We start from the raw sequence: 15,223 nt of genomic DNA on the forward strand, positions 1-15,223 counted from the left end.
AATACTGTTATATAATACACAAGAAGTATTAGCTTTACAGGCATAGAAATTCAGGAGGAATTTAATGACTCTTGGGAAGGTTGAAATGAGGAAGGGCAACAAATGCAGAAAAGCTCTGAAACAAATTCTTTAAACATACAACACTATCCTTGGGGATAAAGATTTCAAAGCTGTTCATTAAGATTAATTAAGAAGGATACATTTTCGGGCTGGCAAGATGGCTGAATAGGAACAGCTCCAGTGTGCAACTCCCAGTGAGATCAACGCAGAAGGCAAGTGATTTCTGCATTTCCAACTGAGGTACCCGGCTCATCTCATAGGGACTGGTTAGACAGTGGGTACAGCCCATGGAGGGTGAGCTGAAGCCTCACCTGGGAAGCGCAAGGGGTTGGGGAACTCCCTTCCTAGCGAAGGAGGGACGGTGCCATGACGAATGGTGCATTCCAGCCCAGATACTAAGCTTTTCCCACAGTCTTTGCAACCTGCAGACCAGGAGATTCCCTCTGGTGCCTATGCCAACAGGGCCATGGGTTGCAAGCACCAAACTGGGTGGCCATTTCGGCAGACACCAAGCTAGCTGCAGGAGTTTCTTTTCATACCCCAGTGGCACCTGGAACACCAGCAAGTAAGAACTATTCACTCCCCTGGAAAGGGGGCTGAAGCCAGGGAGCCAAGTGGTCTAGCTCAGTGGAGCCCATCAAGCTAAGATCCACTGGCTTGAAATTCTCGCTGCAAGCACAGCAGTATGAAGTTGACCTGGGGGAGGACGCTCCAGCTTGGTGAGGGGAGAGGCATCTGCCATTACTGAGGCTTGAGTAGGCGGTTTTCCCCTCACAATGTAAAAAAAGTCACAGGGAAGTTCGAACTGGGTGGAGCCCACCGCCGCTCCTCAAAGCCACTATAGCCAGACTGCCTCTCTAGATTCTTTCTATCTGGGCAGGGCATCTCTGAAAGAAAGGCAACAGCCACAGCCAGGGGCTTATAGATAAAACTCCCATCTCCATGGGACAAAGCACCTAGTGGTAAGGGTGGCTGTTGGTGTAGCTTCAGCAGACTTAAACGTTCCTGCCTGCCAGCTCTGAAGAGAGCAGTGGATCTCCCAGCACAGCACTTGAGCTCTGCTAAGGGACAGACTGCCTCCTCATGTGGGTCCCTGACCCGACCCCTGTGCTCCCTGACTGGGAGACATCTCCCAGTAGGGGTCGACAGGACATCTTATACAGGACAGCTCTGGCTGGCATCTGGCAGGTGCCCCTCTGGGATGAACCCAGGCAGCAATCTTTGCTGTTCTGCAGCCTCTGCTAGTGATATCCAGGCAGACAGGGTCTGGAGTGGACCTCCAGCCAACTCCAGCAGACCTTCAGCACAGGGGCCTGACTATTAGAAGGAAAAGTAACAAACAGAAAGGAATAGTATCAACATCAACAAAAAGGACCTCCACACCAAAACCTCATCTGAAGGTAGATAAATCCACGAAGATGGAGAGAAACCAGTGCAAAACCGCTGAAAATTCCAAAAACCAGAATGCCTCTCCTCCTCCAAAGGATCACAACTCCTTGCCAGCAAGGGAACAAAATTGGACGAATGAGTTTGACAAACTGACAGAAGTAGGCTTCAGAAGGTGGGTAATAACAAACTCCTTCAAGCTAAACGAGCATGTTCTAACCCAATGCAAGGAAGCTAAGAACGTTGAAAAAAGGTTAGATGAATTGCAACTAGAATAACCAGTTTAGAGAAGAACGTAAATGACCTGATGGAGCTAAAAATCACAGCACGAATACTTCTAGAAGCATACACAAGTATCAATAGCTGAATGGATCAAGTGGAAGAAAGGATATCAGATACTGAAGATACACTTAAAGCATGAAGACAAGATTAGAGAAAAAATAATGAAAAGGAATGAACAAAGCCTCCAAGAAATACGAGACTACGTGAAAAGACCAAACCTGAAAGTGATGGGGAGAATGGAACCAAGTTGGAAAACCCTCTTCAGGATATCACCCAGGAGAACTTCCCCAACCTAGCAAGACAGGCCAACATTCAAATTCACAAAATACAGAGACCACCCCAAAGATACTCCTTGAGAAGAGCAACCCCAAGACACATAAATCGTTAGATTCACCAAGGTTGAAATGAAAGAAAAAATGTTAAGGGCAGCCAGAGAGAAAGGTCAGGTTACCCACAAAGGGAAGCCAAACAGACTAACAGTAGACCTCTCTGTAGAAACCCTACGAGCCAGAAGAGAGTGGGGGCCAGTATTCAACATTCTTAAGAGAAGAATTTTCAACCCAGAATTTCGTATCCAACCAAACTAAGCTACATAACTGAAGGAGAAATAAATCCTTTACAGACAAGCAAGTGCTGACATATTTTGTCACCACCAGGCATACCTTACAAGAGCTCCTGAAGGAAGCACTCAACATGGAAAGGAAAACCCGGTACCAGCCACTGCAAGAACATACCAAAATCTAAAGACCATCGACACTACAAAGAAACTGCATCAACTAATGGGAAAAATAACCAGCTAGTGCAGCATAATGACAGGATCAAATTCACACATTATAATATTGAGACCCATCTAACGTGCAAAGATACACATAGGCTCAAAATAAAGGGACAGAGGCATATTTACCAAGCAAATAGAAAGCAATAAAAAAAAGCAGGGGTTGCAATCCTAGTCTCTGATAAAACAGACTAAACCAACAAAGATCAAAGGAGACAAAGAAGGACATTACATAATGGTAAAGGGATCAATGCACCAAGAACAGCTAACTAACTATCTTAAATATATATGCACCCAATGCAGGAGCACCCAGATTCTTAAAGCAAGTTCTTAGAGAACTGCAAAGAGACTTAAAGTCTCCCACTATTATTGTGAGGAGTCTTAACACCCCACTATCAATATTAGACGGATCAACGAGACAGAAGATTAACAAGGATATTCAGGACTTGAATTCAGCTCTGGACCAAGTAGACCTAATAGACATCTACAGAACTCTCCACCCCAAATCAACAGAATATACATTCTTCTCAGCACCTCATCACACTTAAAGCTGACCACATAACTGGAAGTAAAACATTCCTAAGCAAATGCGAAAAAACGGAAATCATAACAGTTTCTTAGACCACAGTGCAATCAAAGTAGAACTCAGGATTAAGAAACTCACTGAAAACCACACAACTACATGGAAACTGAACAACCTGCTCCTGAATGACTACTGGGTAAATAACGAAATGAAGGCAGAAATAAAGATGTTCTCTGAAACCAGTGAGAACAAAGACACAACATACCAGAATCTCTGGGACACATTTAAAGCAGTGTGTAGAGGGAAATTTATAGCTCTAAATGCCCACAGGAGAAAGCAGGAAAGATCTAAAATTGACACCCTAACATCACAATTAAAAGAACTAGAGAAGCAACAGCAAACAAATGCAAAAACTAGCAGAAGGCAAGAAATAACTAAGATCAGAGCAGCATTGAAGGAGACAGGGACATGAAAAACCCTTCAAAAAAAATCAGTGAATCCAGGAGCTAGTTTTTTGAAAAGATAACAAAATAGACTGCTAGCCAGACTAATGAAGAAGAGAGAGAACAATCAAATAGATGCAACAAAAATGATAAAGGGGATATCACCACTGATCCCACAGAAATACAAACTACCATCAGAGAATACTATAAACACCTCTACGCAAATAAACTAGAACATCTAGAAGAAATGGATAAATTCATGGACACATACATCCTCCTATGTTTAAACCAGGAAGAAGTCGAATCCCAGTCGAAGACCAGTAACAAGTTCTGAAATTGAGGCAGAATTAATAGCTTACCTACCAAAAAAAGTCCAGGACCAGACGGATCCACAGCTGAATTCTACCACAGGTACAAAGAGGAGCTGGTACCATTCCTTCTGCAACTATTCCAAACAATAGAAAAAGAGGGATCTTTCCTAACTCATTTTATGAGGTCAGCATCATCCTGTTACCCAAACCTGGCAGAGACACAACAAAAAAGAAAACTTCAGGCCAATATCCCTGATGAACATTGATGCGAAAATTCTCAATAAAATACTGGGAAACAGAATCCAGCAGCACATCAAAAAGCTTATCCACCATGATCAAGTCTGCTTCATCCTTGGGATGCAAGGCTGGTTCAACATATGCAAATCAATAAACATAATCCATCATCTAAACAGAACCAATGAAAAAAACCACATGTATCTCAATAGATGGAGAAAAGCCTTCAAGGAAATTCAACACCCCCTCAGGCTAAACACGCTCAGTAAACTAGGTATTGATGGAACGTATCTCAAAATATTAAGAGCTGTTTATGACAAACCCACAGCCAGTATCACACTGAATGGACAAAAGCTGGAAGCATTCCCTTTGAAAACCGGCATAAGACAAGGATGCCCTCTCTCGCCCCTCCTGTTCAACGTAGGATTGAAAGTTCTGGCCAGGGCAGTCAGGCAAGAGAAAGAAAGAAAGGGCATTCAAATAGGAAGAGAGGAAGTCAAACTGTCTCTGTCTGCAGATGACATGATTGTATTTCTAGAAAACCCCATTGTCTCAGCCCAAAATCTCTTTAAGCTGATAAGCAACTTCAGCAAAGTCTCAGGATACAAAATCAGTGTGCAAAAATCACAAGCATTCCTATACACCAATAGCAGACAAACAGAGAGCCAAACCATGAGTGAACTCTCATTCACAACTGCTACAAAGAGAATAAAATATCTAGGAATCCAACTTACAAGGGATGTGAAGGACCTCTTCAAGGAGAACTACAAACCACTGCTCAAGGAAATAAGAGAGGACACAAACAAATGGAAAAACATTCCATGCTCATGGACAGGAAGAATCAATATTGTGAAAATGGCCACACTGCCCAGTGTTATCCCCATCAAGCTACCATTGACTTTCTTCACAGAATTAGATAAAACTGCTTTAAATTTCATATGGAACCAAAAAAGAGCCTGCATAGCCAAGACAATCCTAAGCAAAAAGAACAAAACTGGAGGCATCAAGCTACCTGACTTCAAACTATACTACAAGGCTACAATAACCAAAACAGGATGGTACTGGTACTAAAACAGATATATAGACCAAAGGAACAAGACAGAGGCCTCAGGAATAACACCACACATCTACAACCATCTCATCTTTGACAAACCTGACAAAAACAAGCAATGGGGAAAGGATTCCCTATTTAATAAATGGCGTTGGGAAAACTGGCTAGCCATATGCAGAAAACTGAAATTGGACCCCTTCCTTACACCTTATAAAAAATTAACTCGAGATGGATTAAAGACAAACGTAAAATCTAAAACCATAAAAACCCTAGAAGAAAACCTGGGCAATACCATTCAGGACATAGGCATGGGCAAAGACTTCATGACTAAAACACCAAAAGCGATGGCAACAAAAGCCAAAATTGACAAATGGGATCTAATTAAACTAAAGACCTTCTGCACAGCAAAAGAAACCACCATCAGAGTGAACAGGCAACCTACAGAATGGGAGAAAATTTTTGCAATCTATCCTTCTGACAAAGGGCTAATATCCAGAATCTACAAAGCACTTCAACAAATTTACAAGAAAAAAACAACCCCATCAAAAAGTGGGCAAAGGATATGGACAGACACTTCTCAAAAGAAGATATTTATGCAGACAACAAACATGAAAAAAGCTCATCATCACTGGTCATTAGAGAAATGCATATCAAAACCACAATGAGATGCCATTTCACACCAGTTAGAATAGCAATCATTAAAAAGTCAGGAAATGACAGATGCTGGAGAGGATGTGGAGAAATAGGAATGCTTTTACACTGTTGGTGGGAGTGTAAATTAGCTCAACCATTGTGGAAGTCAGTGTGGCGATTCCTCAGGGATCTAGAATTAGAAATACCATTTGACCCAGCCATCCCATTACTGGGAATATACCCACAGGATTATAAATCATTCTACTATAAAGACACATGCACACGTATGTTTATTGCAGCACTGTTCACAATAGCAAAGACTTGGAACCAACCCAAATGCCCATCAATGATAAACTGGATAAAGAAAACGTGGCACATATACACCATGGAATACTATGCAGCCATAAGAAAGGATGAGTTCTTGTCCTTTGGACGGACATGGATGAAGCTGGAAACCAACATTCTCAGGAAACTAGCACAAGAACAGAAGACCAAACATTGCATGTTCTCACTCATAAGTTGGAGTTTAAGGATGAGAACACATGGACACAGGGAGGGGAATATCACACGCCTATCGGGGGGTGGGGGCTAGGGGAGGGATAGCATTAGGAGAAATACCTAATGTAGATGACAGGTTGATGGGTGCAGCAAACCACCATGGCACTTGTATACATATGTAACAAACCTGCATGTTCTCCACATGTATCCCAGAACTGAAAGTATAATAATAAAAAAATAAAGATACATTTTCTTGCCTAGAACCTTGCTTCTGCTAAGATTACTTTCAAAAGTAAGATTTATTCCAAGGGTAAGAATAATGAACTGTAGTGATACCAGCATTCCCAGAACTATCCGTGGTAGAAGCTAACTGGCATGTTTGAAGACTGCAAGGCTCTAGGTTGAGCAGATAATTTATTGTCTAAATGGAGCTACTTCTAAGAGTGAAGGAGGGTGTTAATCTCACTGGAGCAAGAAGCATACATACCATCCTGGAAAAACCTGGACATAGTTGACCATCACTAGACAGTCCCTAAAATTCCACCTTTTGAGATTCACTTCATAAGGGGTGAGAAGATTTTTTAGTCTTTAAGAAACTTATGTTAAAGTGTAAGCTGTTCTGGGATCTGTGACACCCTAAGCCAATGGTTGATAGCCTTCCATGCACATAAGGTTCCCCAGAGTCATTTGTTCAGCATGTGGGCTCTTGGTCCCCACTGTCAGTCATTGATTCTGTAAGTTTAGGGCAGGTTCCAGAATTCTGCATTTTAATAACAGAGTAGTTCTGAGCACAACTGAGTAAGCACTGTCTTAGGTCAGTGTTTCCCAAACTATGTTTTCACGTGTTGTGCAAGATATAAATACATGATGCAAGGGGAAAGGAGTTCTGCGGTCAATTACTTTGGAAACTTTGTGTTAAACCTGTTGTCTTAGTCATTTCCGGCTGCTGTAACAACATACCATAAACATGGTGGCTTATAAACAACAGAGATGTATTTCTCACAGTTCTGAAGGCTGGGAAATCCAAGATCAAAGCGCTAGCAGATTTGGTGGCCATGAGCCATTTCCTAGCTCATAGATGGCCATCTTTCTGCTGTGTCCTCACGTGGCACTAGGGGCAAAAGAGCTCTTTGAGGCCTTTTGTGTAAGAGCACGAATCCCATTCATGAGGGTTCTACCCTCATGACCTGATCACCTCCCAAAGGACCTACCTTCAAACACCATCACATGGTTTCAACACATGATTTTTGGGTGGCATGAACATTCAGTCCATAGCACCTGGTTAAACAGGCATTTTTTTGTTTTTAATGACAGTGCTTCTAAAAGTCCTGCCTCTTAAAGGGACTTTATGTGGGTGGCATTTTACAAGTTTGAGCATGGGCCCTTTAAGAGACACTAACATTTTGAAATATGCAGCATTCCAAGGCAAATGCTGCTCTAGACACATACCCAGTTCTTTCTAGATGATTGCAATAGCTGAGACCAAGGTCCTGCAGAAACAGTACCGAGGGTAGGAACTAAATCTATGAGGAGTTGAAATGAGACTGGCTTAGGGAGGTGGGAGTCCTCATAGAAACTTCCTAGGGGCTGTACTTTGGTTAAGCTTCATAACCATGCATTGGGTGGCTTCATTCTCTCCTCTCTTTTCCTGCCGTGCCTAGGACTGAAGCACAGTTATAGAATTAACCCTTTAATTCTTTGCTTTCGAAGGTATGATCTAATGAGACAATGCTGGCGGGAGAAGCCTTATGAGAGGCCATCATTTGCCCAGATATTGGTGTCCTTAAACAGAATGTTAGAGGAGCGAAAGGTAAGTATTAAAGTCAGGCAGGAGATCTTTAATTGGAATACCTGATGTGCCCAGGGTGGTTCATAAAAAACATTGAAATAATTGAAGAAGTTCTTCTTGGCATGGCCCTAAGTATTATAGAAACAAAGGATGTCCCTCCACCCCCGCGACTTTGAAGAAGTTACAATTTTGGGGGGAAATAAGATTTCTATACAAGATACAGTCACGTACACACTAGAATAACATACAGAATTAGCCTATTAGAGTTGGAAGGAATTTTCGTCATATAGCCTGACCCTTTAATTTTATAGATGAAGAAACAGACTCAGAAGTGGGTGACTTGACCAAGGACACACAGCAAGTAGACAACAGAGCCTGACCTGCAGGTTACTATAATGAGGGTCAGGAACTCCATAAAAATTTCTAGAAGTAAGTTGGCTGTACCGATCTGGGAGTCAAAATAAAAGTAAACACAGTTTAAAGAAATAGTCATCAAAACCCAAGTGGTAATTCAACTAGAGATGCAGGTGAGATCACACAGATGTGAAAATGAGATTCAGACAGAGGAAGGAACCCAGAAGAAGGAACCCTAGGGAAGCTGAACACATTAGGAGGTACCAATAAGACACTGTGAGAAAGGCAAGCTCAGAAACTGAGGATACAGTATGAAATCTTACTTGCAGAACGCAAGGGGATGCATTTTAGGAAGAAAGTCATCAAATACAACAGAGGGACTGAGGACAGAAAAGTATCCCCCAAGTGCTTAGTATATGAGTTGCAACAAACTAAGAAAACCAAGGTATTGCTGTAACTGCCGCTGGCAGAGGTGGAATCAAAGCAGCCTATGTCTCTGAACCATTTTCATTCTTCCAGACCTACGTGAATACCACGCTTTATGAGAAGTTTACTTATGCAGGAATTGACTGTTCTGCTGAAGAAGCGGCCTAGGACAGAACATCTGTATACCCTCTGTTTCCCTTTCACTGGCATGGGAGACCCTTGACACCTGCTGAGAAAACATGCCTCTGCCAAAGGATGTGATATATAAGTGTACATATGTGCTGTACACCTGGGACCTTCACCACTGTAGATCCCATGCATGGATCTATGTAGTATGCTCTGACTCTAATAGGACTGTATATACTGTTTTAAGAATGGGCTGAAATCAGAATGCCTGTTTGTGGTTTCATATGCAATAATATATTTTTTTAAAAATGTGGACTTCATAGGAAGGCGTGAGTACAATTAGTATAATGCATAACTCATTGTTGTCCTAGATATTTTGATATTTACCTTTATGTTGAATGCTATTAAATGTTTTCCTGTGTCAAAGTAAAATATTGTTAATAAACCTAACAATGACCCTGATAGTACAGGTTAAGTGAGAGAACTATATGAATTCTAACAAGTCATAGGTTAATATTTAAGACACTGAAAAATCTAAGTGATATAAATCAGATTCTTCTCTCTCAATTTTATCCCTCACCTGTAGCAGCCAGTCCCGTTTCATTTAGTCATGTGACCACTCTGTCTTGTGTTTCCACAGCCTGCAAGTCAGTCCAGGATGCTAACATCTAAAAATAGACTTAAATCTCATTGCTTACAAGCCTAAGAATCTTTAGAGAAGTATACATAAGTTTAGGATAAAATAATGGGATTTTCTTTTCTTTTCTCTGGTAATATTGACTTGTATATTTTAAGAAATAACAGAAAGCCTGGGTGACATTTGGGAGACATGTGACATTTATATATTGAATTAATATCCCTACATGTATTGCACATTGTAAAAAGTTTTAGTTTTGATGAGTTGTGAGTTTACCTTGTATACTGTAGGCACACTTTGCACTGATATATCATGAGTGAATAAATGTCTTGCCTACTCACGTCTCATCCAGGAGTGTGTCTCATAGCTATTGCCACATGTCCTTATTATACTTTAAAGAAAAATCGTTTAAATTATCCATCCCTAGCACCTAGAGTAGTGCGAGTATACTCCACCAGTTACGGAATCTGAAGCTCATCAGATTGAAAAGGTCTCCTAGAAGTGTTCTACTGCTTATTTCTTTTTCTTGCAACAGGCAGTACACCTTTGGGAGTGTTCCAGTGTGAACCAAGGGCTTAGAATTGGAATTCCTTTTAATTGTGTTACAATGTTAAATAAAGTCCTCACACAATGTCATTGATAGGTTTGTGGAAACTGCAGTACTATGTAGTGAAACCAATTTTACCATAGAGTAACTCATAGAAACGAGATGCTATCCCCATCAAGCTACCATTGACTTTCTTCATAGAACTGGAAAAAACTACTTTAAATTTCATATGGAACCAAAAAAGAGCCCACATAGCCAAGACAATCCTAAGCAAAAAGAACAAAATTGGAGGTATCAGGCTACCTGACTTCAAACTATACTACAAGGCTACAGTAACCAAAACAGCATGGTACTGGTACCAAAACAGATATATAGACCAATGGAACAGAACAGAGGCCTCAGGAATGACACCACACATCTACAACCATCTGATCTTTGACAAACCTGACAAAAGCAATGGGGAAATGATTCCCTATTTAATAAATGGTGTTAGGAAAACTGGCTAGCCATATGCAGAAAACTGGATCCCTTCCTTATACCTTATACAAAAATTAACTCAAGATGGATTAAAGACTTAAACGTAAGATCTAAAACCATAAAAGCCCTAGAAGAAAACCTGGGCAATACCATTCAGGACATAGGCATGGGCAAAGACTTCATGACTAAAACACCAAATGCAATGGCAACAAAAGCCAAAATTGACAAATGGGATCTAATCAAACGAAAGAGCTTCTGCACAGCAAAAGAAACTACCATCAGAGTGAACAGGCAACCTACAGAATGGGAGAAAATTTTTGCAATCTAGCCATCTGACAAAGGGCTAATATCCAGAATCTACAAAGAACTTAAACAAATTTACAAGAAAAAACAACCCCATCAAAAAGTGGGCAAAGGATATGAACAGACACTTCTCAAAAGAAGACATTTATGCAGCCAACAAACACGAAAAAAAAAGCACATCGTCACTGGTCATGAGAGAAATGCAAATCAAAACCACAATGAGATACCATCTCATGCCAGTTAGAATGGTGATCATTAAAAAGTCCGGAAACAGCAGATGCTGGAAAGGATATGGATAAATAGGAATGCTTTTACACTGCTGCTGAAAGTGTAAATTAGTTCAACCATTGTGGAAGACAGTGTGGCGATTCCTCAAGGATCTAGAACCAGAAATACCATTTGACCCAGCAATCCCATTACTGGGTATATACCCAAAGGATTATAAATCATTCTACTATAAAGACACATGCACACGTATGTTTATTGCAGCACTGTTCACAATAGCAAAGACTTGGAACCAACCCAAATGCTCATCAATAATTGACTGGATAAAAAAAAATGTGGCACATACACACCATGGAACCCTATGCAGTCATAAAAAAGGATGAGTTCATGTCCTTCTTAGGGACATGGATGCAGCTGGAAACCATCATTCTCAGCAAACCAACACAAGAACAGAAAACCAAACACCACATGTTCTCACTCATAAGTGGGAGTTGAACAGTGAGAACACATGGACATGGGGGGATGTGGGGGAGGTGGGCATCACGCAGCGGGGCCTCTTGAGGAGGGCTAGCATTAGGAGAAGTACCTAATGTAGATGGCAGATTGATGGGTGCAGCAAACCACCATGGCACGTGTATACCTATGTAACAAACCGGCACGTTCTGCACATGTACCCCAGAGCTTAAAGTATAATAAAGAAAGAGACAAGAGTTAAGTGTCTGTAGCATACAGTACATTATTTCACTTAAGTCAGTTTCCAAGAACCTATTGAGAACATTGAGGACATATTGTAGTTCTACATGCTGCACAAACTTTACATATTCTTATGTATTCAGGAATTACAACTAGGCAACTGAATTCATCCTGAACACTCTTTATTCCCAACAGCATATTCAAGCAAAGACACAGAGCAAAATAAAGGCTGCTCACATAACACTTAACTAAATGGAAACATGAATGAAAAGCCACTGAAATATCGGTCTAGCATGTCTTCACCAAGAGGGCATACTAGGAGATACCAGTCTTTATCTTCCCACAAAAAAAAAGAATAGATAAATAAACACAGACAACTATTCACATACCAAAACAACCCAGAGGGAGTGCAAGGGCCCATTATAGGATATGCAGCAATACAGTGGAGCACAATAATGGAGAATAATCACACAGAAAGGATTGTGATCAGCATATTTAATACACCAGGAGATGTCTACGAACAAAGGTGGAGGCCTTGGTATGAGCCACACAGCAGAACTACTGTGGTCACAGTGACCTGCTTTACAGAGGATACCAGCATCTCCTGCCACTGAGGTATCAGATAGTCATTCCCACTGGAGAACCTTAGAAAAGGAAATGCACATCCCTAAAAACCCCTACCCCCAGAAGTGGTTGCTGTTGAGACACTTTAAGAAAGGAGCCACCATTTCTTCTAACCCTGTACATACCTCAATCTTGGGGCTGCAGCCACTTCATAAGAGCCCACAAGCTCCAGTCTCAGGCTCTGTGGCTGCATTGGGCCCACCCTCGTCTCAGACACTGTAGCGACTGCCATAGTGAGCTAGTTTGTACCCTGGGCCCTAGAGTCCATACTCTACACACCAGTTCAGCCGCATGGATAACTAGGCTCCATCCTAACCCTAGAGCCATGCTAACTCTGTGTATACCTGTGCTTCCATTCTTGGTTCCCTGGCTACTTCACAAGCATTTGTAGCCCAAAGCTGCTACCAACATGACAGACAGGGTGCTTGTGCCTCAAGCCAACAGCTCAGTCACCATAGAGAACGAGGCCCTGCCCTGACTCTGGAGCTTCTCTAACACTGTGCGTGTCTGTGCTCCCATTCTTGTCTCTACCAGCCGCTCCAGAGCATCTGTGGCTTGCATACTGTTACTGTAGGAGGGTTGCTTGTGCCCCAGGCACCAGTGCCATTAATTCCCAGATCTCATAGCAACAGACTCTCCACATGTTCTCATGTTTCAGGCCTCAGCTCCATGACTGTTCCACAGGTACCACTCAAATACTGGTACTGTCACTACTGCAAGACAGCCCATAAACCAGACCCAGTGCCAAGACATACCCTTTCAGCTATAACTTCCCTAGTGGGAGAAAAGAGATCAGGAGGATCTCCTCAGCCATTGTCTCTGAAGACCTCAACAACCCTTGCTGGCACTGTGGACATCCACAGTGTTGACCACTGAGGAGGCCTGCCACCTTTGTCAACACCAACCTCTGCTGACAGAACTGGTGCCAGAACTACTGCACCACAGTCAGCAAATGGTCTGATATTCCATGGAGAGGAAGGTCTTTCCACAGTGAAACTAGCCCATGAGTTTTGCAAATGTGACTGTTCCACCAAATGCACAGGTATCAACATAAGCAACAAGAAACATAAAAAGAAAAAAAAAAAAACAGACACAACACCACCAAAAGAGCACAATAATCTAGTAGCTAACCCCAAAGAAATATACAAACTGCCTGATAAAGAATTCAAAAGAATTGTTTTAAGAAAGCTCAGCAAACTTCAAAAGTGTTCAGAGAAATGATTCAATAAAGTCATGGAAACAGTAAACAATCAAAATGAGAAATTTAACAGATGGAAATTATATTTTAAAACCCCAACATTCTGGAGCTGAAAAATAAATGAAATGAAAAATGCGATAGACAACAACAACAGAATTGATGCAGCAAAAGAATTTGAATTCAAATATGTGATTTGAAAATATGTAGTCATGGGGTTGGGGGGAAGGATGAAAAGTAATGAAGAATGCATATGGAATTTGTGAGACAGCATCAAAAGAGCACATGTTTGAGTTATAAGAGTTCAAGAAGGAGAAGAGACAGAAAGGGGTAGAAAGCTTATTTAAGAAATAAACAGCATAACACTTTCCAAATTTGGGGAAGATAAATATTTAGGTACAGGAACGTCAAAAGTCTACAAGCAGATTCAATCCAAATAATATTTACAGCAAGATATATTATAATCAAATTGTCAAAAAACAAAGAGGATCCTGAAAGCAGCAAGGAAAAAGAAGATTAACATATGTAACGGAGTTCCAATAAGACTAGCAGCCAATTTCTTAGCAGAAATGTTACAGGCCAGGAGAGAGTGGAATGATATAGTCAAAGTTCTGAAGAGAAAATAATGTCAGCCAAGAATCCTGTATCCGGTAAGGCTGTCCTTCAGAAATGAAGAAATAAAGACTTTCCCAGACAAAAGCTGAGGAATTTCATTACCACTACATCTGACTTATAAGAAATGCTAAAGAGAGTTCAAGCTGAATGAAAAGGCTGCTAAATTAATAGCATGAAAATATGAAAGTCATTGGCAAAAGTTAAAACACAAATTCAGAATAATACTGTAATTGTGGTGTGTAAATCACTATCTTTAGGACGAATGTTAAAATGGAAAACTATCACAAATAACAGCTACAATGATTTGTTAAGGGATATGCAATATAAAAAATATAAATTATGACATCAAAAAATGTTGGGGGTGGAAGAATAGTTACTTTATTCAATCAAAATTAAGTTGTTATCAGCTTAAAGTAGTCTATTATAACTGTAAGATTTTTATATAAGCCTCCAGGTAACCACCAGCAAAAATCTACACAGGATACACAAAAGATAAAAAAGTAAGAAATCAAAGCACATACCACTAGAGAAAATCATCTTAAGGAAAAAAGGAAAAAGATCTACACAACAAAGAGAAAACAATTAACAAAATGGCAATAGTAAGTCCTTACATGTCAATAATTACCTTGAATGTAAATGTTAAATTCTCCAATTAAAAAACATAGATTGGCTGAATAAAAAAATAAGACCCAATTATGTGCTGCCTACAGAGACTCACTTCACTTTTAAAGATACACACAGAATAAGAGTATAAGGATAGAAAAAGGTATTCTGTCCAAATAGAAACGAGAAGAGAACAGGAGTGTCTCTATTATATAAAATAGATTTTATGCCAAAAACTGTGAAACGAGACAAACAAGGTCATTATATAATAAAAAGAGCAATTTATCAAGTAGATATAGTAACTGTAAATATGTATGCATCTAATGTCAGAGCATCTTAAATACATAAAGCAAATATTAATAGATCTGAATAGATAGAAATATTACAGAAATAAGAAAAATCATAAGTGACTA

At 40.5% G+C, this 15,223-nt stretch overlaps 1 protein-coding gene across 5 annotated transcripts in view; it reads left to right on the top strand.

The window, feature by feature from the left end:
• TEK (TEK receptor tyrosine kinase) overlaps positions 1–9,875 on the top strand; it is a 120,950-nt gene extending 111,075 nt beyond the window's left edge. For all 5 annotated transcript variants that reach the window (NM_000459.5, NM_001290077.2, NM_001290078.2 and 2 more), the window contains 2 exons: positions 7,907–8,006; positions 8,859–9,875. In NM_000459.5, the coding sequence (NP_000450.3) occupies positions 7,907–8,006; positions 8,859–8,933 (175 nt within the window). In that variant the 3' untranslated portion in view covers positions 8,934–9,875. The remainder of the gene's footprint in view (positions 1–7,906; positions 8,007–8,858) is intronic.

Source organism: Homo sapiens, chromosome 9 (genome assembly GCF_000001405.40).
Source record: "Homo sapiens chromosome 9, GRCh38.p14 Primary Assembly".
In the NCBI taxonomy this organism is placed as follows: domain Eukaryota; kingdom Metazoa; phylum Chordata; class Mammalia; order Primates; family Hominidae; genus Homo; species Homo sapiens.